Raw genomic sequence first — 23,832 nt, 5'->3', positions numbered from 1 at the left:
TGTATTAGTTGCTATTCTGAGCCAAGCCATCTTACAGTCAGCATAGGCCAGGGCAAGGGGTGGTGGGGGCAGGTGCTGGACACACTTTGTTTCATCCCTAGCTAGGTGTATAGTAACACATACTGCCTATAGTGCAGAGAGGCCACATCTCCACCTGGGAGGTGAGCTTCCATTCCTCCTGGTTCTAGAACTCACAACATGGCCTAGTGAGCTTTCCCTGTAATCTCTTCAAACTCTATACAGAGATTATATTTTGTAGAAGGATAATCCATGTCTCACTGCCCTCTCAAATCAACTCCTCAAGCTCTTATGCAACACATACACACACACACATTTACCAGGTGTGACTAAAGTAGATAGGTTGATCATTTACATGTAAAAATAAACATTTAGTCACCTCCCACACTAACAGGCCCATGCTGAACCTTTGTATCACTTTGCTCTTTTTATCAGTGACCTTGACCAATATCCACTCAAACCACTCCTCCTACTCCAACTACTTGCTGTGATGGGAGCAACACACACACACACACACACACACACACACACATACACACGCACATACCACATACCCACCCATACACCCACAGTCCCTTGGCAGTAAAGTAACTAGGATGACCCAGAAGACCCATCCCCCCACTGAGAAGTGTAGAAGCCATGAGTTTCACCTTTTTTGAAACATCTGCTGATTTACATTTGCTAAGATAGTTATGTATTAGCTAGCCACCTAACAGTGAAAATAATGACATAGAAGGAAAGGGGAGAATAAGGCAACTTTATTCCTTTTCCATCCAGTCCTTCCTTCTTCGCCTGTTGGTAGAATGTGTTTGTGTCAATAAGTGAAATAAAAACAGTTGAGTACAAGCCAGGTGCGGTGGCTCACGCCTGTTAATCCCAGCACTTTGGAAGGCCGAGGCAGGTGGATCACTTGAGGTCAGGTGTTCGAGGCCAGCCTGGCCAACATGGTGAAACCCTCATCTCTACTAAAAATACCAAAATTAGCTGAGTGTGGTGGCATGCACCTGTAGTCCCAGATATTCAAGAGGCTGAGGCAGGAGAACCGCTTGAACCCAGGAGGCAGAGGTTACCGTGAGCCGAGATTGTGCCACTGCACTCTTGCCTGGGCAATGGAGCAAGATTCCATCTCAAAAAAAAAAAAAAAAAAGCAAAAAATAAAACCACACACACACAGTTGAGTACAGATAGAGTAAGTAAGTTCTCACCATCACCTCCTCTTCTTTTTAGTTTCTGGAGCTGGCAGCCTGGCTTCCCTCTCATCACTTACCCTGCAGCTACGCAGGCCCTGATCATCTTCCCTGAGGCCCTGGCACCGCGTTGCTCCCCTCATACCAGGTTAAGTCCTGCTGCCACCCTTATACTTAAGCAATGAAGGGAGGTCACTGCCCCTCTGGTGTGGATGAGCCTCTGTCTGCAAGCAGGTTTGCTATTTTCTTTTCTTTAGAGAGGGGGCCAGCTGCACCTGGGTTCAGGCAGAGGCATAGAGCCACTAAGAATTGGATTCACCTCATTCTTCCCAGAATCACTTAAGTACTTTTGTTAGTTATGCAAATGTCGGACAAGCAGGTGGCTTTGGCCCCAGAGGGGTGACCATGCAAGGCCGGCTGTGCTTTGCACAGCTTCAATCCATTGCCTTGCCTTGGTGGGAGCAGAGCTGCGGGTAGAATGAGAGGTGGACTTGGACTCCTCTGCTTTAGAATCCAAGAATCTACCCAGTACCCCAACCGTGTCCCCTGATGCCCTGGGGTCTGGTATGTGCCCTGGGAAGGGGCTCTGAAGGTTACTAGAAAGAGTTATTACCTGGGACATGTAAAGGCAAGCACCTTCCCCAGGCATCCCCCAAAGAAGCCCTGCGGCCAGCTGGAATCGGCCTGCCTCTGGGGGCCCGGCACACATGGGCTCTGGAGCACCCCGACTTGTCCACAGTCGGCAGCAATCAGTCACAGCACTGATGGGCACAGCTCCCTCTGAGATTGGTGCCGAGTGAGGACTGACCTCCCACCCCATTTAGCCCGTGGGATTCTTGGATCATTGAACAGCGATGGGGTCCTCAAAATGAAGAGAGTTGACTTCTGCCAAAAGGCATGTGATGCTCAAGTGATTAATTTGAAAAACAAAAGTAACATCTACAGAGGAGTAAACATTCCAGGGGTGCCTGCATTTGACAGATCTGTTCCCTGGGGTGAATGTTTAATCTAGAGTGTGGGAAGGAGCTATTCCTCCATAGTATCAGCATTCCTCCTTACTTTGCTATGTCCTCCCTAACACTCTCATTCCCATCTTTGCTGTTGTTTCAATCAATAACAAAAGAGGCCAGGCGCGGTGGCTCACGCCTCTAATCCCAGCACGTTGGGAGGCCGAGGCAGGCGGATCACCTCAGGTCAGGAGTTTGAGACCAGCTTGAGCAACATGGCAAAACCCCGTCTCTATTAAAAATATAAAAAATTAGCCAGGCATGGTGGTGGGGGCCTGTAATACAAGCTACTTGGGAGACTGAGGTGGGAGAATGGCTTGAACCCAGGAGGTGGAGGTTGCAGTGAGCTGAGATCGCGCCGTTGCACTCCAGCCTGGGCCTAACAGAGTGAGACTCTGTTTAAAAAAAAAAAAAAAAAAAGAAATCATATAATCATATTAGAAAATGGAATACAGTAGCCCTATGGCATTCACAGATCTGATATTTCATTCTACTTTTTAATTTAAAAAATAGCCCAGAAGGCTGCAACAAGAAGGAAGGTGTAATTCTACTGAGCACACCAGGGGAAGCTTTTGGCTGGAGAGGACACACCATCACCTCCAGCAGCCCCATCTCCACTCAGCTATGGTGTTTCTGACTCAGTAAGCATGATGCAGATGCTCTTTGGAGTAAAAACAGCTGTGTTAGTGTCTGTTGTTTGTGGGTGATGATTTGCCAATTCAAGGGACATTGAACTTTTGTTGTGAATGTTGTCATACAAGGTTGCAGAAGCCTCTCTCCTGAAATATTTATTCTGGAGAAATTGAGAAGCCTGTACCCAAATTTCCATCATCATGAATCTGCAGATTCTTGAAGGTCTCAGAAAATATTTCTGGAGAATATGTTTGTTACATAACTGAGGTTTCCTAGGCTACAGTAGCCTGTAAGTAAAAATAATGTCCAACTATAGTGGTGAGTGAGAATGCTCCTGCCTCTATCCCATTACCTTAAGGAACTCCAAGAAACTGATGGTTCTGGGACCCCCGCAAGGAAGTTCTTCCTGGACTACACAAATTAGTGCTTCCTTCATACCTGGTGGCATCCCTAGGTCCCTTTTCTTCAGCTATCTGTCCCTCGTCGCTGCCAGCGATACTACAATACTATGTCTGGCTGGTGGTGCTGACAGTTGCCCCTATGACTAAGGCCTTCCTTTACAACTTCAAAATCCATTGTAAATGAACTCCTCCCTGAGGCCTTAACTAAGAAAAACCCAGGGTGATATGGCTCAGTGCTGCTCCTTCTTGGACCTGCCGGAACCACAGGAGTCTCTGAAGGCCTGGAGGAGGTCACAATCTGCTCGACACAGTGTGAGGCCACAAATCCCCCACCCAAGATAATGAGAGACCCGCTGATCCTTGAGCTTCTCCTACGCAGCCACCCTCAACGCCCAGGATGAGCTCCTTCTAGGAGGCGCCACACTCCTCATGAGATGTGAATATCCTGGCAGCCTACATTCTCTGTCCATCCAACATGCCTGGACAAGCCTGATGCAGAAAGTAACACAGGAGAGGTGTCAGCTGGGAGCCTTCCTAAATGCTAAATATTTGGGAAGCCAGGAATAGAGAACCATTCCTTTTATTTCTTCTCCTTGATAAATGTAGCCTATAAACTCACTAAAAAGATCAAATTATAATTCTGGGAAGGAGGCCATGGATTGGCATCAAAAGCCACCATATCCAAAAACATAAATCAAAAATTTAGAATTGTAGTTATATTCCATCAGCCAACCCCTCCACTCTTGAACCATGTTAAATAATAGAGAATTGTAATATATAGTGCAGTATAAAAGAGGATATAAAATACTGCTAAAGCCATCTTTGATTTTTGGAATGACTTCGGAATTGAATAAAACTGAATAAGTATGAAGGATATAATCTTATTTGTAGATGAATATGCCCTTAACCTTCAGTTGACTTCAAACCAGACAAGTTCTCCAAGGCAAAATTATATATAAAGACAGAACATTCATCAGCACAGGTCAGAAAATCCTCTTTCGTCAAAACTACGTGGATGCATTTTCTGAAGAGGCTCATATTTCCAGAAAACACCGCAAGGAATCCTACACGCAATTGCATAATCCTTATGTGGGTGGAGGGCGTGGGTGCAATGTTACGTAAGATCATGGGCTGAACATCTCTGCAAAGAGGTGAAGAAATGCCTCCCTACACAGTGCAGGACGGGAAGCATAGCTCTCAGTGTGCTCGCACTAGCAGGAAAATTATGACAGCTGGTGGCTTAAATAAGAGCTTCATGACAAAGTGGCAGGATAGCCAAACCTACACATTCTCCTTCGTTTGCCACTTGGCAGAGAGCGCAACATGCATGTGCTGACAAACGCTAGGTGCTGGGGCTGCTTCTGCATTGAATGCTTCATGGGAGGGCTGGGTGACAGGCATAGATTAAAGTGATGCATTTGTACAATGGCCAAGAATACAGGGTCTTAGGTAAGGTTGCCTGGTATGAATCTTTGCCCTGTGTAACATTGGGTGACTTAAGTTCCCTAATTCTTGATTTTTTTCACTTATAAAATGGGGACAAGGCTGATTTTTATTATATAATTATAATATATAATAAATATACATAAAATAAAAATATAATTATATTTCATTATATTTTTATTATAAAGTTGTATAATTTTAATATAATTTTTAAAAAGGGACAACAATAGTACCTACCTTTCAGATCATTTAAAATATAAAATGATTGGCCGGGCATGGTGGCTCATGCCTATAATCCCAGCACTTTGGGAGGCCAAGGCGGGTGGATGACCTGAGGTCAGGAGTTCAGGACTAGCTTGGCCAAACATGGTGAAACCCCATCTCTACTAAAAATACAAAAATAAGCTGGGCGCGGTGGTGCGCCTGTAATCCCAGCTACTCAGGAGGGTGAAGTGGGAGAATTGCTTGAACCTGGGAGGCTGAGGCTGCAGTGAGCTGAGATTGCGCCACTGCACTCCAGCCTGGTGACAGAGTGAGACCCCGTCTCAAAAAAAATTTTTTTGTATGTATATTTATATATATACACACAATGATTAGAGTTATTAATGAGTTTAGTATAGTGCATCACATCTAGGAAGTGGTCCTTAAAAATTAACTATTAATAGGCCTGGCACGGTGGCTCATGCCTGTAATCCCAGCATTTTGGGAGGCCGAGGTGGGTGGATCACCTGAGGTCAGGACTTCATGACCAGCCTGGCCAACATGGCAAAACCCCATCTCTACCAAAAATACAAAAATTAGCCAGGCGTGGTGGTGGATGCCTACAGCGCCAACTACTCAGGAAGCTGAGGCAGGAGAATCACTTGAGCCCAGGTGGCGGAGGTTGCAGTGAGCTGAGATTGTGCCACTGCACTCCAGTCTGGGCAACAGAGCGAGACTCTGTCTCAATTAAAAAAAAAAAAAAAGAAAAGAAAAGAAAAAAGAAAAAGCAGCCAGTCATAAAAGGCCACATATTGTGTGATTCCATTTATATGAAATGACCATAGTAGGTGAATCCATAGAGACATAAAGTAAATCGTGGTTTCAGGGAGTGGAAGGATGGGGAGTGGATGCTAATGGACACAGGGTTTATTTTGGGGGGATGCGAATGTACTGAAATTAGACAATGGTAATGGTTGCACAACTCTATGTACTAAAAACCACTGAATTGAGAGAGGTGAATTTGATGGTATGTGAATTATATATTGATAAAAAGAAAGCAATCAGGCAGGGTGCGGTGGCTCACATCTGTAATCCCAGCATTTTGGGAGGCCGAGGAGAGCGAATTATGAGGTCAGGAGTTGGAGACCAGCCTGGCCAACATGGTGAAAACACGTCTCTACTAAAAATACAAAAAATTAGCAGGGCATAGTGGCGGGCGCCTGTAGTCCCAGCTACTCCCTACTCGGGAGGCTGAGGCAGGAGAGTCGCTTGAACCCAGGAGGCAGAGGTTGCAGTGAGATGAGATTGCGCCACTGCACTCTGGCCTGGCGAAAGAGTGAGAATTGGTCTCAAAAAATAAAAAAAAGAAAAGAAAAAAAGAAAGCACTCTACATAAATATTTCTTTGAGTTACTATTGTTAGTTAATGACCCCATGTAAAATATGTCCTGTTTAATAATGTACCATCCTGAAAAGAAAGTTATTCAATTCTCGCCTTAATGCAAACTTGAGAATGTAATGGGGAGAGTGGAAGGCTGGACTTGTGGGGCCCCAAACCTTTTCTCAAGGGTCTCCTTGGCCTAAATTCAACAGCTCCTCACTACAGACCCAAGCTCTTTCGCTTGTCCACAGCCACAGCTCCATAAAATGCCGAGCAGTGTCTTCTGCTGGAGAATTTACATTTTTCCCGGGGGTTTTAGGAAACAGAGGGAAGGGTTTCTAGAGCTGAGGTTGACTCGAGTACTGCAGCACACTGGCTGGAGAAGAGGACTTTGGATGCATGACTCTCCCATTCCCAAAAACAGCACCCCCAGCCGCCCCCCCGCACCACCTTGGCCCAGCTCAGGTGACATGTACACCTGCCAGAGCGCAATGACGGGTGTTTGGCTCTTGTTTCTGCTTTAAGTTCTTTTCAAGGGGCCAGGACTCTAGCTGCATGGTTGTGCAGGGAACTATGCACCAAAAGCAAGTGAACAAGTCTGAATAGTAAGAGTTATGTGGATTGATTGCTTACCAGTGTCAGGTACCACCGCAAGAAATTTGCACACTTTATCCCGTGTAATCCTCCCCCTGGGCCTGGTGAGTAGGCACTATTCTTACCCCCGGAAGGCAGAACTACTGTTATGCCATCACTTGCTCACTTGTTGTAGTAAAGTCAGCTTTGAAAAGTTGCAACTGGCCAGGCACGGTGGCTCACGCTGTAATCCTAGCACTTTGGGAGGCTGAGGCGGGTGGATCACCTGAGGTCAGGAGTTCAAGACCAGCCTGGCCAACATGGCAAAACCCTGTCTCTACTAAAAATACAAAAAAAAATTAGCCTGTCATGGTGGTGAATGCCTGTAGTCCCAGCTACTCGGGAGGCTGAGACAGGAGAATTGTTTGAACCTGGTGGGTGGAGGTTGCAGTGAGCCGAGATCATGCCACTTCACTCCAGCCTGGGCGAAAGAGTGAGACACCATCTCAAAAACAAAACAAAACAAAACAAAAAAAAGTTGCATCCATAATGGTTTAGTTTCTAAATCTGTGTTAGACTGCATGGGCTGCCATAACAAAATATCACAGACTGCGCGGCTTAAACAACAAAAATTCATTTTCTCACAGTTCTAGAGGCTGGAAGTCCATGATCAAGGTGCCACTGCGGTTGGTGAAGAAAGAGAGAGAGCTCTGTTGTCTTTTCCTCTCCCAATAAAGACACCAGCCCTATAGGATCAGGGCCCCCCCACCCTTATGACCTCACTTAAACTTACTCACTTTTCTAAGTTTCTATCTGTAATTACCCTTACACTGGTTACAGTGACAGTTTCTACTCTAATTACAGTTATATTCAACTTATGAATTTTGAGGGGAAACAATTCGGTCCATAACACATTCAAAATAAAGATCCTTTTGGTATCTAAATTTGCATTAATCATATGGTATGCTTTATTTATTTAAAAGGTCCTTACAATTTTGTAAGATTCAGGCCCTTTGAAATCTGGATCCACCCCTGAATATTCTCATTTTAGAGAGGAGGACACTAAAGCCTAGAGAGAAGTAATTTGCTCTCGGCAATACCACCAGTGAGTGGAAGATCAGGCCCGAAGATGCTCACTGTGTTTGACCCTAAACCCTCGCTACTCAAAGCGTGCTCCCTGGGCCAGCAGTCTCCACTTCCCTGGGAGCTTGTTAGAAACATAGACTCTCAGGTCCCAGCCAGACTCACTGCATCACGAACTAAATCTTAATAACATCCCAAGAAGTATCCACGTTTACGAAGCCCTGCTTTAAACTGGACTGCTTCCATCTGTGTCTTTGATGTGCTTTCTTCCTTTCATTTTCCCTCCAGAAAGAGCAGCTGGTGTGACTGCAGGCACCCACCTCGAGTCATGGAGAGCTGAGTGTACGCCGATGGGGGCTGTTGAGACCCCAGGTGTGCCTGGGAGGAGAGTTAGGAGCAAAGAAGGGGGATGGGGTTAGACCAAGGAGAGAATGTCCTTCAAGTAGCCTTACACCCTGGTCTCAGGGTAGCTCCTACTGCTTGGGGCAAGAGCTGATGCCACTGTAGTCCAGAGCTATAGCCAAGGGCACCCATTACAGCCCATATCAGGACACAAGCATGGTGTCCTGGGACAAAGAGCAGCACTCAGCCATGCTCTGTGGATGAAGGGGCAAAGGTTCTGCTTTCACGCATGTGGGAAGGCAAATCATGGAGAGTTGCGGTCTTGCTGCATCTTCTGTAACTCCCTGTTCAGTGACTTTACAACACCCTAGCTTGAAATCTGCCAAGGTGCGTTTACACTACAAAAACTGGCAAATGCTACAAATAGGGGCTCTTTTTAAAAAAATTTAAAAATATCATTTGTAAGCATTTATCAGCACATCCCTGGATGTTTGCCACACTATAAAATATAGATGATTTAGTGATGGTCGACATCTGAAAAAGTGGCTGAGTGTGGTTGCTCATGCCTGTAATCTCAGCACTTTGGGAGGCTGAGGTGGGCAGATCACTTGAGGTCAGGAGTTTGAGATCAGCCTGGCCAACAGGGTGAAACCCCATCTCTAATAAAAATACAAAAAATTAGCCGGGCGTGGTGGCAGGCGCCTGTAATCCTGGCTACTTGAGAGGCTGAGGCAGGAGAATCGCTAGAACATGAGAGGTGGAGGTTGCAGTGAGCCGAGATTGCGCCATCGCACTCCAGCCTGGGCAACAGAACGACTCCCTCTCAAAAAAAAAAAAAAAAAAGTGACAGTTTTAATAAGGACATTTAAAAGCATGTGCAGGAAAGAGTCCATAAAGAACACCTTTCCCTTTGAGTTTCCCTAGCGTGTGATTGTGCCATTTGCTCTGCTGAAGTCAGTAAGCACAGGAAGGAGTGCGTTCTGCTCAGTGACAAGTGGTAGGCTGATCTTGGTGACATCCTCTACAAGGCCCCACTCAGCCCTTTGCTTTCAGCCCATCACCTATTCCTCTTTCTCACTGTCTGTCTGGAAGAGCTCAGCCCTGTCTGTTACTGATTTCCTTGCCTAGCCCTCCCTATGAGGTGGCCACATCCACACCGCAGACAAAGGCTGGCATACAGTAGATGCTCAGAAATATCTGTTGAACTATACAATTTTGGAAAACAACTCCCCACAGTTGCATCTCTTGGGGCCCTTATCAGTCAGGGAAGTGTGGGTGGCAATATGCACAGAATCTGATCAGGTCCTAGGCCCCGCCTGCCCCCCCAGGCTCTGTGCCCCTCCCCACAGTTGACACAAGTGATCGGCAGTCCTGGCCCATTTAGATTGCAGGCCCTGGGTCACAGCGTGAAGCTCCTCCCTCTGGCAGAAGTCTGACCTTTACTCTGTGTCTCATCCTGACAGCTCTAACCAGGCTTAACCCTCCACTTCATTTCTGGAAACTGGTCCCTGTTGGGTTTCTGAGTAGATGTCTGGGGGCCTTCCAAGGATCTGAGGTTGTCCAGGCCTAGGGTCACCTGGGCCTTTTTCCTAGAACAGCAAGTTGCATCTTGGCCTGGAGGTGGCACGTCACCTCCTTCTCATTGTTTTTCTGGATGTTGAGGAGCTCTCTTACTCTTCACCATCCACCTGCTTCGGGCTTCCTGTTGCCATCTGTGCTCAGCATCTGAGACACTGGGTCACTCCGGGCTTCTTTTGCTCCATGTCCCCACCATACTTCCTCTTGCTGCCTCTGCCAGGTGCTTGGAGTATGTGTCACCTGTGAGGTGGACTTCTCCTTAGGGATTTCAATGGGGTCTGGCTCACAGTGCCTAGTCTAGTTTTCAGCTCTGGCCCCTCCTGGGCAGCCCTTCCCATGGTGGTGTCCAGAGCAAGGAGGGGCTCCCCAGATTTTGGGAGAGACTCTCTAATACCCACACCCAAGGTGCAAGAAGAGATTCATTCATTCAGTGCACCCTTTGTTTACTGAGCACTGACTCCACCCTGCTAGGCACTGCCCTAGATGCTGGGGGTGATAAATCAGACAAAGGCCCAGCGCTTGCTAAGATCACATGCTAGGGAGGAGACCAATGGCAAACACATGAGCAAAATATATGCGGAATAGGATATGTTATTTATGTTTTTTATTCCATTTATATATAATGTATATACATATTTATAAGTTTACATAAATACAAATTTTATGCATTCATATAAACATGTCTATAAATATAACACATTACATGTAAACATTTCTTTATAAACTTACATTTAAATATAAACACACACATATATACACACATACACATATACACACACACATATATATATACACATACACACATACACACACACATACAGTGACAAATGCTCAGAAGAAAATTAGGACAAGGCAGCAGTCAGGAGCTTGAGTGAGAGCTGCTTTTATTTTGTGTTTTAAGACAGGATCTCACTCCATTGTCCAGCCTGCTCCCCACTCGCCGCCCCGCCCCGTAGCTGGGATTACAGGTGTGTGCCACCATGCTCCGCTAATTTTTTTATTTTGTAGAAAGTTCTCCCAGGTTGCACAGGCTGGTCTCCGACTCCTGAGCTCAACTGCTCCTCCGGCCTTGGCTTCCCTGAGTGCTGAGGTTACAGGTGTAAGCCACTGTGCTCCGCAGGGTGCTTTTAGACAGAGAGGCCAGGAAAGGCTCCTTGGGGAGACCACGGGATGAAAAGGAGGAGGAAGAGCACTGTGGAGCAGCATCCCAGCCAGAGGCCCTGAGCCGGGAAAGCGCTCCACTCATGGGAGGCTGGGCTGCAGGGAAGTGAGCCCCAGGGCCACCTGGGGACTTAGGAAACCTTCTAGGTGGGAGCAGGGAGCACCCAAGATCTGCCAGCCACGAGTAAGGACTCACATTTTGCATATAGACTGGTCTGCCCCCCCTTCAGTTAATGAGAAAGCAGGGGATCAGAGGGAGGAAGGCTGCGCAGGCCTCTGGATACCTCATCCAATGACAAGATCGCAAGGGGAGCGTCACCCCCAACGCTATCAGGCTCGCCCGATCTGGCCTCTTGTTGGTCTTTTATTCGAGTCATTGAAACCATATGAAACTGCCACTTTTATAGGTCAGCCCATCATACCAACCAAGATCTTAGAGAGTGGAGGTGAAGTTGGGCAGATAAGGGACCTCTGGCTGACTTGCTCTGGGCCCCGGCGTGGCCGGCAGGACCTGCATATCTGCCCGCCAGCCCGCACTGGAGTGGCAGGGTTGTGCCACAGTAGCGCCCAGTGAATCAGGTTGGCAAACTTAAGCGAGCATTCACCTAGAGCGAGTGAGTTGTTAGCAAAGCGAGGCCGCGCTCCAGCCCGCACTGTTTCTGATTCCGTGGGACCTGGTGGGCCCCAGAAATCTGCATTTCTAACAAGTTCCCAGGTGTTCCTGACGCTCCCGGTCGGGACTCCCACTTTGCGACCCTACGCACTAGACATTTGCTGCACGGATAAAGGTCAGAGAGCGGTGCCGGACACTCACTTCTCACCCTCCAACGTCAGTCCTCCCGGGCTGGTCCGCCCACCTCGCCCTCGCACGGCCTCCAGGCTCCAGGTGGTTCCCCTCCCCCAACTCCGCCAGGAGGCGCCGGCCCCGGGATCCCCCACTCCGCCCAGAGAGGGTCGCGCTCCCCCCAGGGGTGGAGGAGCACGGGGAGAAGCCCTCTGCCGCACCCGCGGGTGTCGGTGCAGGGCCCAGGTGCCGGAGGATTCCTTCCCCGGACGCTCGCCGCGGGCCGGGTCGGGACTCTGAGCAGGCGGGGCGGGGCGGGGCGGGGGCGGCGCTCCGGTGGGCGCGGCAGAGCAGCCGGGGCGGGGGCGCGGCGCACCTTGCTCCCGGCGCCCCCGCCCCGCGCCGCCGCCAGCCCCTCCCTGCGCTCCCGGCGCCCCCGCCCGCTAGAGACGATTCCAGCCCCTTCCGTCCGCCGCGCTCCGCCGCTGTCCTCCGCCGGCCCGCGTGGGAGGACGATGGGTCAGCGCGGAAAAAGTGAATGAGGGCGGCAGCGGTGGCGGCGGTAGCCAGCGCCTGACTCGGCGGGCCCGGAGCACCGCCCGCGTCCCGGCCCCCGGCACCATGGACGCGCCGCGCGCCTCGGCGGCCAAGCCCCCGACCGGGTAAGCGGCCCCGCGGTCGGGCGGGGTGGAGAGGGGGCTTCCCTGGGCTCGGACGCCCGCGTCCGCACCGCGCGCTCCCGGGCAGGGCGCCCTCTCTGCCGCCCCAGCGGGTGCTGGTGGTAGTGGTGGAGCAGGTGGTGCGGTGCTGGTGTTGGGTGCTGGTGTTGGGTGGTGGTGCGTGCTGTGTACTTTGGGCACCCGGGTCGTTGCCCAGGTAACCGTGTCGGGCCGGGGCCGGAGCGCACTTTTCGCGCGGGGTGGTTTGTATGCAGGCGTCCTTATGGGGGTCCCCGCCAGCACAGCCCCCACTCAGCTCCGAGCTTTCCTCAGGCCCCCCAAGTGTTTGCCGTAGGGGTGGAGCGGGGAGCGAGGGGACGCCCGGCCTTTGACTCCGGCCTCTTCCCTGCGGGCTTGCCCCTGGCCGGTTCCCATCAAGTCTTCCCTCTCCCGGCCTCGGCGGCAGCCCCAGGATCGGCTCTCCCGGCAGCGTGGAGGGGAGGGCTCCCCGGCTTCGCAGCCGCCCGGGCCCCGCGTTCTCGGAAGGTGTTCGGATTGCCCGGAGGGTTTCATGGCAGCAGCTCTCCCTCCCTGCCTTTATTCCAGGGTCTCCCCTGGCAGTGGAAGGGGCGTCCTAGTGGGGCCAGGCCTGAGGCGCAGACATCCGTAGCGGACCCGCGAGTCTGGCGGCCCATCCCTGTCTTCGCGATTCCGCTTTTGCCCAAACCTCTCCCGGTTTCTGTTTGCTATCCCCACACCTTGCGTGCAGGGATTACACGTCACATTCAGGATTTGACTCTCAGAAAGAGTAATTTCCCTCAAACAGGACGAGCAGCCCTGCTCATTATTCAGACCCCGAGCCAGGTGCGCCGTGCTCATCCCGGCCAGCGGTGCAGGCTGGGCCGCGGGGTAGCGCGCAGTCCCGGTGGACTTTGTAGTTTTCAGCGCGGCGCGCCGGGGACCTTCGAACTCGCTCGCTCGCCTGGAGCAAATGTGTATGAGTCTTGCAAATGGAATGAGGGTTGGGGTGAGCCCTGCACCTGCTTACTGAATGGGCCCACTTTCTGCTATGGCAACTGGACTTGAAGGAGGCAGCTTTGGGGACAACAAATCTTTTTTTCTGTTACAGTTGTGTCCCACTGACTCACCCTGCCCATGTGCCCATAGGCGGGCGTGTTGCCCAAGTGTGTAAAAGACTTTCAGTCGGGCTCTTTTTAAAATTTTAAAGTTTTCCTTTAATGCCAGGAAAAGGTGAGCCAGGTTAGCAAATCAAATAATCCTGAAGCTGAGGAATGTTAAAAAGAAGTTTTCTTTCTCTCTCTCTTTTTTTTTTTTTGCAGTGCACTTACTGGTGGTTATATAATTCTCTTTGAACAAACAAATTCCCCAGAAAGAAAGTAAATGTGGGAAATCCTTTTTCATGGTAATAGGCATCCCAAAATAACAGGGAAATGTGAAACAGAGGTATCTTTAAATCTGTGGCTTTCATAGCCTATTAAATGAGCCTATTTAAGGACACTGAATTATTTTGTCACTATCACCTTATAAATAAATATGAAGACAGAGAGAACATTTAAAAGGCCGGCAAAACTGTATCCAAAGAGTATCTGTAAGATCCTTGAAGGGAGTCTAATGATAGAAGTGAAAGGACTTACCCTAAGAGCGTGGCACTCTTTTCAGCCTGGTACTGTGTGGCAAGAGGTAGTCGAGGGCTGGCCTTCTCAGGGCTTCCCAGAGCTCTGATTGGCTTTCATATTTGAATTGCAAAGTAAAACTAAGGATTTTTGCTATGGAAAACATGAAATTATTCCTGATGCATTCAGTTCTTTCCCTCACTCATATCCAGTGTCTAATTTACTTGTCCGAACATCTTTGTCCAAGAAATGTAGACATATTATTTTTAACTTCTATTGTTCTCACTTTGTCATTTGTTAATACTTTCAGTGAAGAAGCATCAAGAAAATGTTAATATCCTTATATTTTTTCAGACAAGAATTACGTGTTTAATAAGCAATTTTGTGTTCAAATCTGAGGAGATAAATGGTGTTAGGTCTTCGAATATTTTATATAATTTAGGTGTATGCTTGCTAATTATAAAGGTTAGATATTGCTGTGAAATTTGTGGCTTTAGTACATTATTGGTGGCAGGCAGATTCTGTTGGCTCTTCACTGAGATTACTCCTCTGTTCCCTGAGATTAAGGCAGTGTTTGCAGTGTGCTTGAGGGAAATTTGTTTTCCATCTGATTCTGCAACCGTTTATTATAAAATCAAACTTTCAGTAAGCCTCTGTCTTCCCACATGATAACAAACTGATGTGGTGAAGCTGTTGCTGTTGCTGAAACTACCACTCCTCCTTGTGTTGTATAGAAACAAGCTAGACTGGGTGCAGTGAATTAACGAGATTTCACCCTGTGGCCTACAAACGCTCTTCTAGAAGATTACTGAAGGGAGATAGGTTGGTGAATGTAAACTCACTGACTCTGTGTCTGGCTAAATTATTAACAGGTAGTTATTAGTTATCTTTGTGAAAAACACAAATATACGTTTTTACTTGGATTGAAATTGTATGTTTTTTACTAGGAATTTCATTAAAACAGTGATGTATGACTTCCTTGACTCCTGGGGAAAGTGTTCTTTTAGGAAAGAGGCTGTGTGCAAAAACTAACAAGTCAGACTTGATGTGACTTTTAGGGAGTTTTAGAGCTCAGTTGAAGTATAAGAATTGACAGAATACTCAGAACACAAGTAAAGGCAAATTGCCTTTTGGTGAGGTTTTGAAGTATATTTAACTCTCTACTTTATCTGTTTACTTTGCGTTTGTCTGAATATTTATAGGAGCCATCCCAGTAGTCGGCTGTTACAGAACACAGGGCTAAATTTCCCATTGGACCCTCTGTTAATAAAGGACAGAAGAAGGCTTGCTGTTTGGCAGGACCATGCTTAATTTTTTTTTTCCTATGGAGGAAAGACATGTTTCTGTAGAATACAGTAATCTCCAATGACATGAAATGTCAAAACAGCTGGTGCATTTGATCAATGGCTGTATTCAAGCAGTTTGCTCATGTAAAAATCAGTGGAAGTTTTGCTAATCAGTTTCGTCAAAATGTGGACTTCATGTACACATAGCTGTTATTCATTTCTTTGCATAAATTTATATTTATTTAATCAAGTTATTAGAACCAAAAGAAATTTTAAAAAATTAATCGAAGTGGGTAACTTGAGCTACTCTAGTCCTGTCGGTGCCGCACATAGTATTAAGTGTAGAAGGCCTGTGACTCTTGGTAGTGACATGGGGCAGCCACAGTGACATTTTGTATGAAACCCTCATAAGCATGCAGATATTAAGAAAATATTAACTCTACACCATAATAGGAAGCTTAGGTTTCTAGGCCTTTGGCTTTTGGCTAACATGTTAGAGAAAGTGTTTACATTCTTTCAAATGAGAGCATGTATAATGAACTGTTACATAAAACTTTTCCCGTTAGATTTGAGCATTATTTTTAAAAGATATTACTTCTGAGCTACTCTTTATTTTGGCAATTCATTTAAGAAAGTAAAAGTTAAGAATTGCTTGATGTAATGTGGAGAGTAGGCCTAGGAATTTTAATGTTTTGTAATTAAAATATTTACTAATAAATTAGAAGAGTTGGACATTTCTGTGTTGCAATATCACATAGTCTCAGAGCATTTTTATTATTTCTCAGTGGTTCTATAAAGGGGATAGAACTGAAGTATGATTAAAATTTGTTACAAAGGTATTTGTTAAGTGTTGCATCTCTCCTGCCCCCAGGAACTTTTGCCTGCAGTCCCTCCTGTGTTTTCTCGTGACCTCCAGTGCACAGGTGGAGTGGATTATTATTGAGTGGAACCTTGACCCAGGCAGAGCGACAGCCCCCACGTATATGCAGGCCTGGATTCTGTGGACTTCTTAATTTGGGATCCAGGGAATGAAGTCATAATCTGTGTCCACGCAAGTGCTCCTGTAATTATTAAGAAAACAATGATTATAGGATGCATCTATACACCGTAATAAGTAGTTTAGGTTTCTAGGCCTTTTGTGCTTTGTTATAAATTTATGATTAAATTTAATTTTGTAATTGATCTGCAGTTTTGAAAAGTGAGCATAAATATTTGATACCAAAGTAGTATTAATATTTAGATCAAGGACATACAAATGTGAAATATGCTAACACTTGGTTCTGATTTAGACTTGAACTTTGTAAATACACTAAGAGTTCCTGTATTTATTTATTTTTTTGGTGGGGGGACATAATCTCACCATGTCACCCAGGCTGGAGTGCAATGGTGCGATCTCAGCTCACTGCAACCTCCACTTCCTCGGTTCAAGCGATTCTCCTGCCTCAGCCTCCGGAGTAGCTGGGATTTACAGGTGTGCACCACCACACCCAGCTAATTTTTGTATTTTTTTTTTTTTAATAGAGACGAGGTTTCACCATGTTGGCCAGGCTGGTCTTGAACTCCTAACCTTGTGATCCGCCCGCCTTGGCCTCCCAAAGTGCTGGGATTACAGGTGTGAGCCACTGCCCCCGGCTGAGGTCCTGTATTTATTATATGGTGTTTTCGTACATTCCTTCATTCTCTCCCCATCCACATTTAATTATGAAGGTTTTATGCGTTGGTTAATTTTAATTGTGTGGTTTTTTTTTTCAGTTACCTTATACTATAGCTGAAAAAAAGTTGGTATTTCATGACCCACTGAAAGCTTTTACATATCTTCATCTTTGTACTTTTTCTTTATTTAAAATACTGTAGTTATTGGTTTATATTACTACATAGAGATGTATTGATAATATGCCTTTTTACACTTTTATGATTTTCATTTATTTGAGTTGTAAATTTTAGTTTCCATCTCCCCCATTTTATACTTTGCTTTCTCGCTTCCACCTTGTCACTTGAGTGTTTCTGGATTTTTCAGGGCCACTCCCTGGCTTTCTGCTTCTGAATTGATGGGAAGCCTACGTCACTTTTCTTTCAGGGTTCCATAATTCCTTATTTTTCATCTGTCTCTTGCTGGAATAGAATTAAAACTTTTTTCCTCTTGTATACTTTATATGATTCTAGTTGCTTCTTGCAAAGCTAAGGATGGTCAATACTTTCAAGACCTAGTGCTATTTATTCTAGACTAGAGTTTGCTGTCTCCTCTGGTGCGACAATAGACAATGGGTTTCCAACAGTGTGTGTATTTTCTGCTGCCTATCTCAGGGCCATCCCTGTGCTTCTGAGCCAGCCCCTCCAGAGAAGGATGGCTTTCCCCAGCAGGGAGAAACCCTGTGGCCTCTTGGGGTGTTAGCACGCTTCCCTCTGCTCTCCTCATCAGGTGGCGAGCTGCTCCCTGCCAGGGCATTGTCTTCTATAGGCCAAGTCCAATTAGAGTAATCCCCCAGCTAAAAACATTTCTATTAAAAAAGAGAAAAAGCTTTTTAAGCAACTGCCAGAGTATATTTTTCTTGGATACATTTGGTTAGACAGATTCCCAGACCACAAATACTTTTGTACAAATACTTTTGTAGATCCAGTTCCCACCTGCACCACACCAAGTGATGCCTGTAAAAAGGACATCAATTGATTTAGAGAAACCAATAAAGTCCTTATCCCTTAAAAAAAAAAAAAATACAACCGGCCGGGCTCAGTGGCTTACGCCTGTAATCCCAGCACTTTGGGAGGCCGAGGTGGGTTGATCACGAGGTCAAGAGATCGAGACCATCCTGGCCAAGATGGTGAAACCCCATCTCTACTAAAAATACAAAAATTAGCTGGGCTGGTGGCACATGCCTGTAGTCCCAGCTACTTGGGAGGCTGAGGCAGGAGAATCGCTTGAACCGGGAGGCAGAGGTTACAGTGAGCCGAGATTGTGCCACTGCACTCCACCTGATGACAGAAAGAGACTCTGTCTCAAAAAAACCAAACCAAACAAAACAAAAACAACCCTCCAAAGATAAACCAGGTAAGTCACGCGTCCTGGCTGGTCGATCCCATCTCTTGTCTTCCAGGTGCTCCTCTAGCATTCACTGCCCAAGAACCTGAATCCCCATGGGGAGCCATTGCCTTAGAGATGCTCCCACCTCTCTCCAGACAGAGGCTGCCGAGGGCCAGACAGGGCATCCTTCCCTGATTCAGAATGCCCTCTGCTTATTTGTTAATCCTATTGACTTTCTTCTATCAAAGGCAGACAGCGGGAGGATTAGTGGAAAGAAAATTGTCTCAGGAACAAGAAGCTTTGGACCCTGGTGCCAGTTGTCCAAGGTGAAATTGCTCCTTCTCCACGCAGCCTGCAGGCCCATCCTGATGGGGCCTCTCCAGACTTTTTCAGCCCAGGGCTGTCTGATGATGCTTCTGCCAGGTGCCAGTGTTCTCTGCCAGTGCTGCCAGACACAGGTGCTTCTGAACACTTGACTGGTGATTATTGCAACTGGGAGCTGAGTCTTTCACCTTTTAAAATTTTAATCCATTTAAACTTACATAGCTGTGTGCGGCTAGTTCCAGTGGACAGCGAGGCTCCAGCCTTTGGATTTGCCACTCTTTGTTTGCCACCGCAGCTTCCCAGGCCTCACCTGGGGTCTCAGGCTTTCTCTCTCACCTTGGCCTGGAGAGCTTTCTTGCCCCTTTCTCAGAATGCCTGTTGTTTAAGCTGCAGCTGGGGCTCCCCCAGGAGGCCTTCTGAGAGTATCCCTCTCACACCCCACGCCCTCCCCTGTCCGAAAACCTCCTATGGGATTATGATTGTCCCTTTACTTGCCCCTCTGACCCACTGAATTCTGAGCAGCTCCTTGGAGCCAGGACTATTACTTTGTAAGCTTTTGTGTCATTGGTTTGTGGCCTGTGATGCACAGAACAACCCCTGCTTCCTTCTTGCTGGTGGAGGGAGTTAGATAACATGATCTTAAGACTCATGTGAGCTCTAAAATCATATGATTCAGTGTTCCCAGAATATTCTAGAGTCCTCTTTCAAAAAAACTGTTTCTTAAATTGCTGCTTAAATCTTGTTTTTGCCAGCCTGTATGAGAACAGACCGATCAACTGGCACTAACATATTTGGAACTGATGTGCTTGGACTCAGCTTGCCAGCCATGCAGCCTAGTTCGGTGCAGATTTGGGAGGTGTTAAGAGGTCTTATTTTGAGGAACATAAAGTGACAGTGGCTTAAAGAGGAGATAATTCTCTCTCCTATCTAAAAGCCCACCTCGGGAGTCCTGGGCTGGTGTTGGGGTGCAGCGTTCCCAGAGACCTGCTGATTTTTATTTGGTGCTCAGCTGTGGCTGGTGTGCAGTCTCCATCTGTTCCAGCCTGGCCTGAGGAGGGGGAGATGCACCCCGTCCTTTCGTGCTCCACCTGCCAGCCATACAAGTCCCTTTGCTCATGTCCCCTTGGCCCAACCATAATCACATCGTCCTTAAAAGGGCAGCTTGGAGGCAGGGGGGATCAGAGATCTTAGCCGTTGTGATTGCATTTATGACTCCTGTGAGGGCCGGGGGAACGTAGGTGTTAAAGTGTGCAGATGGGTATGTGGCTCCTCTGCCCCTTGCCAGGGTCTTGGGAAGGGGTGCCCCTGACAGTTTCTGGCCTTTCTGAAAAACATGTCCTTAGTTTGCTGTGACACACACCCACGTTATATAGAGCTCTGACCTACAAAGCCTATGCTTTCCAGACATCTAAGGGGAGGAAGTGACGTTTAGACTGTAATCTTAAAGGCCAGTGGTAAACAGGACTTTGCATCTGCAACACATCGGGGTGCTGACGTCCTTTGCTTTTTATGATGTCTCTGTTCTCCTTGTCCATGCTACAGCCAGCCGCTTCCACTTATTCATAGTGGGCACCATCCTGGAGGAGTTGGGGAAAGAGGATCCCCCAGCCCCCAATTAGGGTAGTTGCACCTGGGAAAGTCAGAGCTTCCTGCTGGTTTGGAGGAGGTAGGCAAGTTGGAGAGACTCCTTGTTAGAATGAGGAGCATTGGCAAAGCGTTGTCTTATCATAAGTGCTCTGCTAAGTGCTCTGCGTGGCTTAAGGACTCATAGAGCTGGAAGAGGAGAAATACCAAATGGATTAACTTTGCAATTACATGTGGATGGCTTGAGCAGTTAAGTAAGTAGCAAACTAAGGCTAAGGAACATAATGGGAAAACCAGCTGTTTGTGTGAATGTATGTGTGAGTGTGTGTCTGTCTGTCTGTCTGTGTGAGAGTGGGCGTGAAGTTAAAGCTAACTTCCAGCACTTGGCAAAGCAGCAGATTACCAAATCAGTTCTGGCGGTTTTCAAACTTAATGGCTTGGGAGTTGTATTTAAAAATAGTCTTGGGTAGGAGTGTTAATGCAGCCGAAGTGTATACTTTTGTTCATGTGGCTAATTTTTTAGTCTCTAAATACAGTTTGGTTGGCTAGAACCCTCTTAATTAAGTGCAAAATCCACTAGTGTTCAATGCACAAACTGTTAGGCTGGAGGGAGACTGATCGACAGCAGCCAGAGTCTAAACATTTGCCATGCAGGGCAGGTCCTTGCCAGGCTTTCCCGTCCGCCCACCTATCCATCTGTCTTGTTGTCTATAGCTACCAGGTAGAATTGGTTTTGGGTGGAACTGAAAACTTCCTTCCTCCTGCTCCTGCCTAAACCACTTATTACGTGATAATGGTTATCTGCGCTCTGACAACATCACACGTAGGAAGAGTGAATTGCAGATCTCTCACAAGAGCCAAGCCACCCAATTGGATTTAAAAAGTGGGAATTGGGGTGATGAAGTCTGAATGTTTTTCATGCTGTGACAACGCTCTAAATTGCTACACTTTACCACTTCTCAGAAATATTTGATTGGTTTCAACGGCACAAGCCATAATCAAAGACTGTGTTCTGAATGCAGTTAATTTGTGAATTTCACAGTCAACAGAAAAGTAAGGAAAACTAGTTTGGAAGCTAGACTAAACTGAAAAATATGTCAGTTTGGAATATTTCCTTATTATTTGTCCATTTCTTTTTGCTTACCATCATGTTTCACATTTTTAGAATGATAGATTTTTCTAAAGGAGGACCCAAAAAATGTTCTTTGCAAGGACTTGCCTTATTTTGGCATTAGAGCCACTTGCCTGTTGCCATTGTCTAGCTGACAGAGATAGGAGATGGCCAGAACCTGCTCCTTGTGTGTGGGAGGTCTGGCTCTCCCATCAGGGCCCTCTGATGTTGGTAGGACAGTACTGTCCTCTCCTTTTTTTGTTTTTGTTTTTGTTTTTGTTTTTGTTTTGAGATGGAGTCTTGCTCTGGCACCCAGGCTGGAGTGCAGAGGCGTGATCTCAGCTCACTGCAACCTCTACCTCCTAGGTTCAAGCAATTCTCCTGCCTCAGCCTCCTGAGTAGCTGGGATCACAGGCCTGCACCACCACGCCTGGCTAATTTTTTTTTGTATTTTTAGTAGAGCCGGGGTTTCACCATATTGGTCAGGCTGGTCTTGAACTCCTGACTTCAAGTGATCCACCCGCCTTGGCCTCCCAGAGCACTCGGATTATGGGCCTGAGCCACTGCACCCGGCCTGTCCTCTTGGTTTTGTAGGTGAGATTGCCATGTGACTCTGACGTCTCTCGTCAGTGTCCACGTCCTCATCGTTGGCCACTCTGCTAGGCCACATTGAAGCACGGAGCTCATTTCCAAAGCTGCTTTATGAAAGCTACTGCTCTAGCTCCCTGCAGGATGAAGGAGGATGTTGCTCTGCTCTATTTCTGAAGCCCTGGAGTGTCTCAGCAGCATTTTGCCATGAAAAGCCAGTGTGCCTGCAGACATTCTTACGACTTATTCCTGGTATAGGAGCCTCATGATTACCTGTTTGATTGTGACAGAACTCATGCTTTTCTAGGATGTGCGATTCCTGAGACTCCTACGTGGGATTTTACTTTTTCAAAGAAATACGTGGTGTGTGATAGGAGAGGACCAAACTCAGCTGTTGCTGAGCACAGAGCAGTTATGAATTAGTGTAAGGAGTCGAATCCAGACTCCCCTTCCTCAAAGCAAGATGTTCTGCCTGATACTGGCTGATGAATTAATAAACATTGAAAAGCCTTCCCTTTTGTACTGGATGTTGGCCCAGCTCAGTGTCTTGGGCTGATACATTTAATGAAAACACAGAGCTCTGCTCTGTTCAATAAACGAGCTTCCTTCAAAGTAGAAGCTACACAGAACCCAGACCCACAAATTCGCTAATTGTGTTTTCTTTGGGTAACTTTATACAGCCCTTGCTCCAAGCTGCAAGAGCCTCAGTAATGAGCTGGGTGATGCTTTTAGGGCCTCTTCTCTGCAGGTGAGTGGGCCCTGTTGGCCTGGGTGTGCTAGTCAGTATCGGGGCTTCTAGAGGCCAGCACCCTCCAGCAGGGATGAACTGAGCACGGAGAGAAAATAGCCCTGGTGTGTGGCACTTCCAAGCCGCCTCTAGGTTCATGGTGCCTAGTGTCACTGTGTTCCTGGGGCCCCACTCATCTGCATTACAGCTCACACCTCAAGACACTCGGGAAGCAAGGGCCATCTTCATTCATCAAGTACAATGTTTGCCCCCACCCCCGCCCCAAGACAGAGTCTTGCTGCTCTGTCGCCTGGGCTGGAGTGCAGTGATGCGATCTCAGCTCACTGCAACCTCTATCTCCTGGGTTCAAGCAATTCTTCTGCCTCAGCCTCCTGAGTAGCTGGGATTACAGGCACGTGTCACCACGGCTGGCCAATTTTTTTTGTATTTTAGTAGAGACGGGTCTTCACCATGTTGGCCGGGCTGGTCTCGAACTCCTGACCTCAAGTGATCCACCGCCTTGGCCTCCCAAAGGGCTGGGATTACAGGCATGAGCCACCACGCCCAGCCATCATCGAGTACAATGTTTTAAGCGCATACCTGGTACCTGGTTTAGGGGCTTTTTAGTGCTGTGAATGAGCTGGTGTTCTTGGCTCTCCTGGGGCCTATGCAAGCAGAATGTCCCTCAATCTATTTTTTGTTTTTAACTTAGTTTTAGTCACTTTCACAAAAGTAATTTATCCTCCTTATGATGTTTCACTTACCTGTGCAGAATCCTCCTTCTGTTAGAACTGATTGTTCTAAATGACATGCACCAAGTTGGAAGATTATACCTTTTGTCTCTTTATTTTAACTGTTGATCTGTGGAAAATATTGCTTTGTAGATGAGGTATCTAGACAGCAACCTCAGAGGAAAATTATATGTTAGAAATGTTTTCTTGATGTTTACTTTTCATTTTCTGAGTTAAAAATTATATAGTATTCTTACAGTCAGGGATAAGACTGGCTGCAGAGCCTGATGGGAAGTAAAGCATGGCTTGTGTTTACGCTGGGCTGGCTTTCATGATTTACCCATGTGCCTAGGAAGGGGATGCACTTCATTTGTGTAA

At 47.1% G+C, this 23,832-nt stretch overlaps 1 protein-coding gene and 1 long non-coding RNA gene across 23 annotated transcripts in view, besides 6 other annotated features; one reads left to right on the top strand and one right to left on the bottom strand.

The window, feature by feature from the left end:
- Positions 280-574: an enhancer, noted in NCBI's record as "tiled region #3180; HepG2 Activating DNase matched - State 8:EnhW". NCBI's record gives its function as "activates a minimal TATA promoter and a strong SV40 promoter by Sharpr-MPRA in HepG2 cells {active_cell/tissue: HepG2}" and the evidence as "EXISTENCE:reporter gene assay evidence [ECO:0000049][PMID:27701403]".
- Positions 568-1,433: an enhancer, noted in NCBI's record as "OCT4-NANOG-H3K27ac-H3K4me1 hESC enhancer chr7:51395310-51396175 (GRCh37/hg19 assembly coordinates)". NCBI's record gives its function as "activates a minimal SCP1, AML or CMV promoter by ChIP-STARR-seq in naive and primed H9 embryonic stem cells {active_cell/tissue: H9 hESC(naive and primed)}" and the evidence as "EXISTENCE:reporter gene assay evidence [ECO:0000049][PMID:30033119]".
- Positions 1,434-2,300: an enhancer, noted in NCBI's record as "OCT4-NANOG-H3K27ac-H3K4me1 hESC enhancer chr7:51394443-51395309 (GRCh37/hg19 assembly coordinates)". NCBI's record gives its function as "activates a minimal SCP1, AML or CMV promoter by ChIP-STARR-seq in naive and primed H9 embryonic stem cells {active_cell/tissue: H9 hESC(naive and primed)}" and the evidence as "EXISTENCE:reporter gene assay evidence [ECO:0000049][PMID:30033119]".
- Positions 3,078-4,277: an enhancer, noted in NCBI's record as "MED14-independent group 3 enhancer chr7:51392466-51393665 (GRCh37/hg19 assembly coordinates)". NCBI's record gives its function as "activates an origin of replication core promoter dependent on BRD2, BRD4, P300/CBP and CDK7 cofactors, and independent of MED14, by STARR-seq in HCT116 cells {active_cell/tissue: HCT116}" and the evidence as "EXISTENCE:reporter gene assay evidence [ECO:0000049][PMID:35650434]".
- Positions 10,714-12,062, bottom strand: LOC124901633 (uncharacterized). Its single transcript, XR_007060324.1, has 2 exons — positions 11,822-12,062; positions 10,714-10,999 (listed from the first exon to the last, which is right to left on the bottom strand). It is a non-coding gene; the product is annotated as an uncharacterized LOC124901633 (long non-coding RNA).
- Positions 10,793-11,385: an enhancer, noted in NCBI's record as "H3K4me1 hESC enhancer chr7:51385358-51385950 (GRCh37/hg19 assembly coordinates)". NCBI's record gives its function as "activates a minimal SCP1, AML or CMV promoter by ChIP-STARR-seq in naive and primed H9 embryonic stem cells {active_cell/tissue: H9 hESC(naive and primed)}" and the evidence as "EXISTENCE:reporter gene assay evidence [ECO:0000049][PMID:30033119]".
- Positions 11,386-11,979: an enhancer, noted in NCBI's record as "H3K27ac-H3K4me1 hESC enhancer chr7:51384764-51385357 (GRCh37/hg19 assembly coordinates)". NCBI's record gives its function as "activates a minimal SCP1, AML or CMV promoter by ChIP-STARR-seq in naive H9 embryonic stem cells {active_cell/tissue: H9 hESC(naive)}" and the evidence as "EXISTENCE:reporter gene assay evidence [ECO:0000049][PMID:30033119]".
- The window catches only part of COBL (cordon-bleu WH2 repeat protein), a 300,598-nt gene continuing 289,002 nt past the window's right edge, over positions 12,237-23,832 (top strand). For all 22 annotated transcript variants that reach the window (NM_001346443.2, NM_001346442.2, NM_015198.5 and 19 more), the window contains exon 1: positions 12,237-12,453. In NM_001346443.2, coding sequence (NP_001333372.1) covers positions 12,413-12,453 — 41 coding nt within the window. In that variant the 5' untranslated portion in view covers positions 12,237-12,412. The remainder of the gene's footprint in view (positions 12,454-23,832) is intronic.

The sequence above is a fragment of the Homo sapiens genome, chromosome 7 (genome assembly GCF_000001405.40).
Source record: "Homo sapiens chromosome 7, GRCh38.p14 Primary Assembly".
Classification (NCBI taxonomy): Eukaryota; Metazoa; Chordata; class Mammalia; order Primates; family Hominidae; genus Homo; species Homo sapiens.
This window is presented reverse-complemented; position numbering and strand designations above follow the sequence as displayed.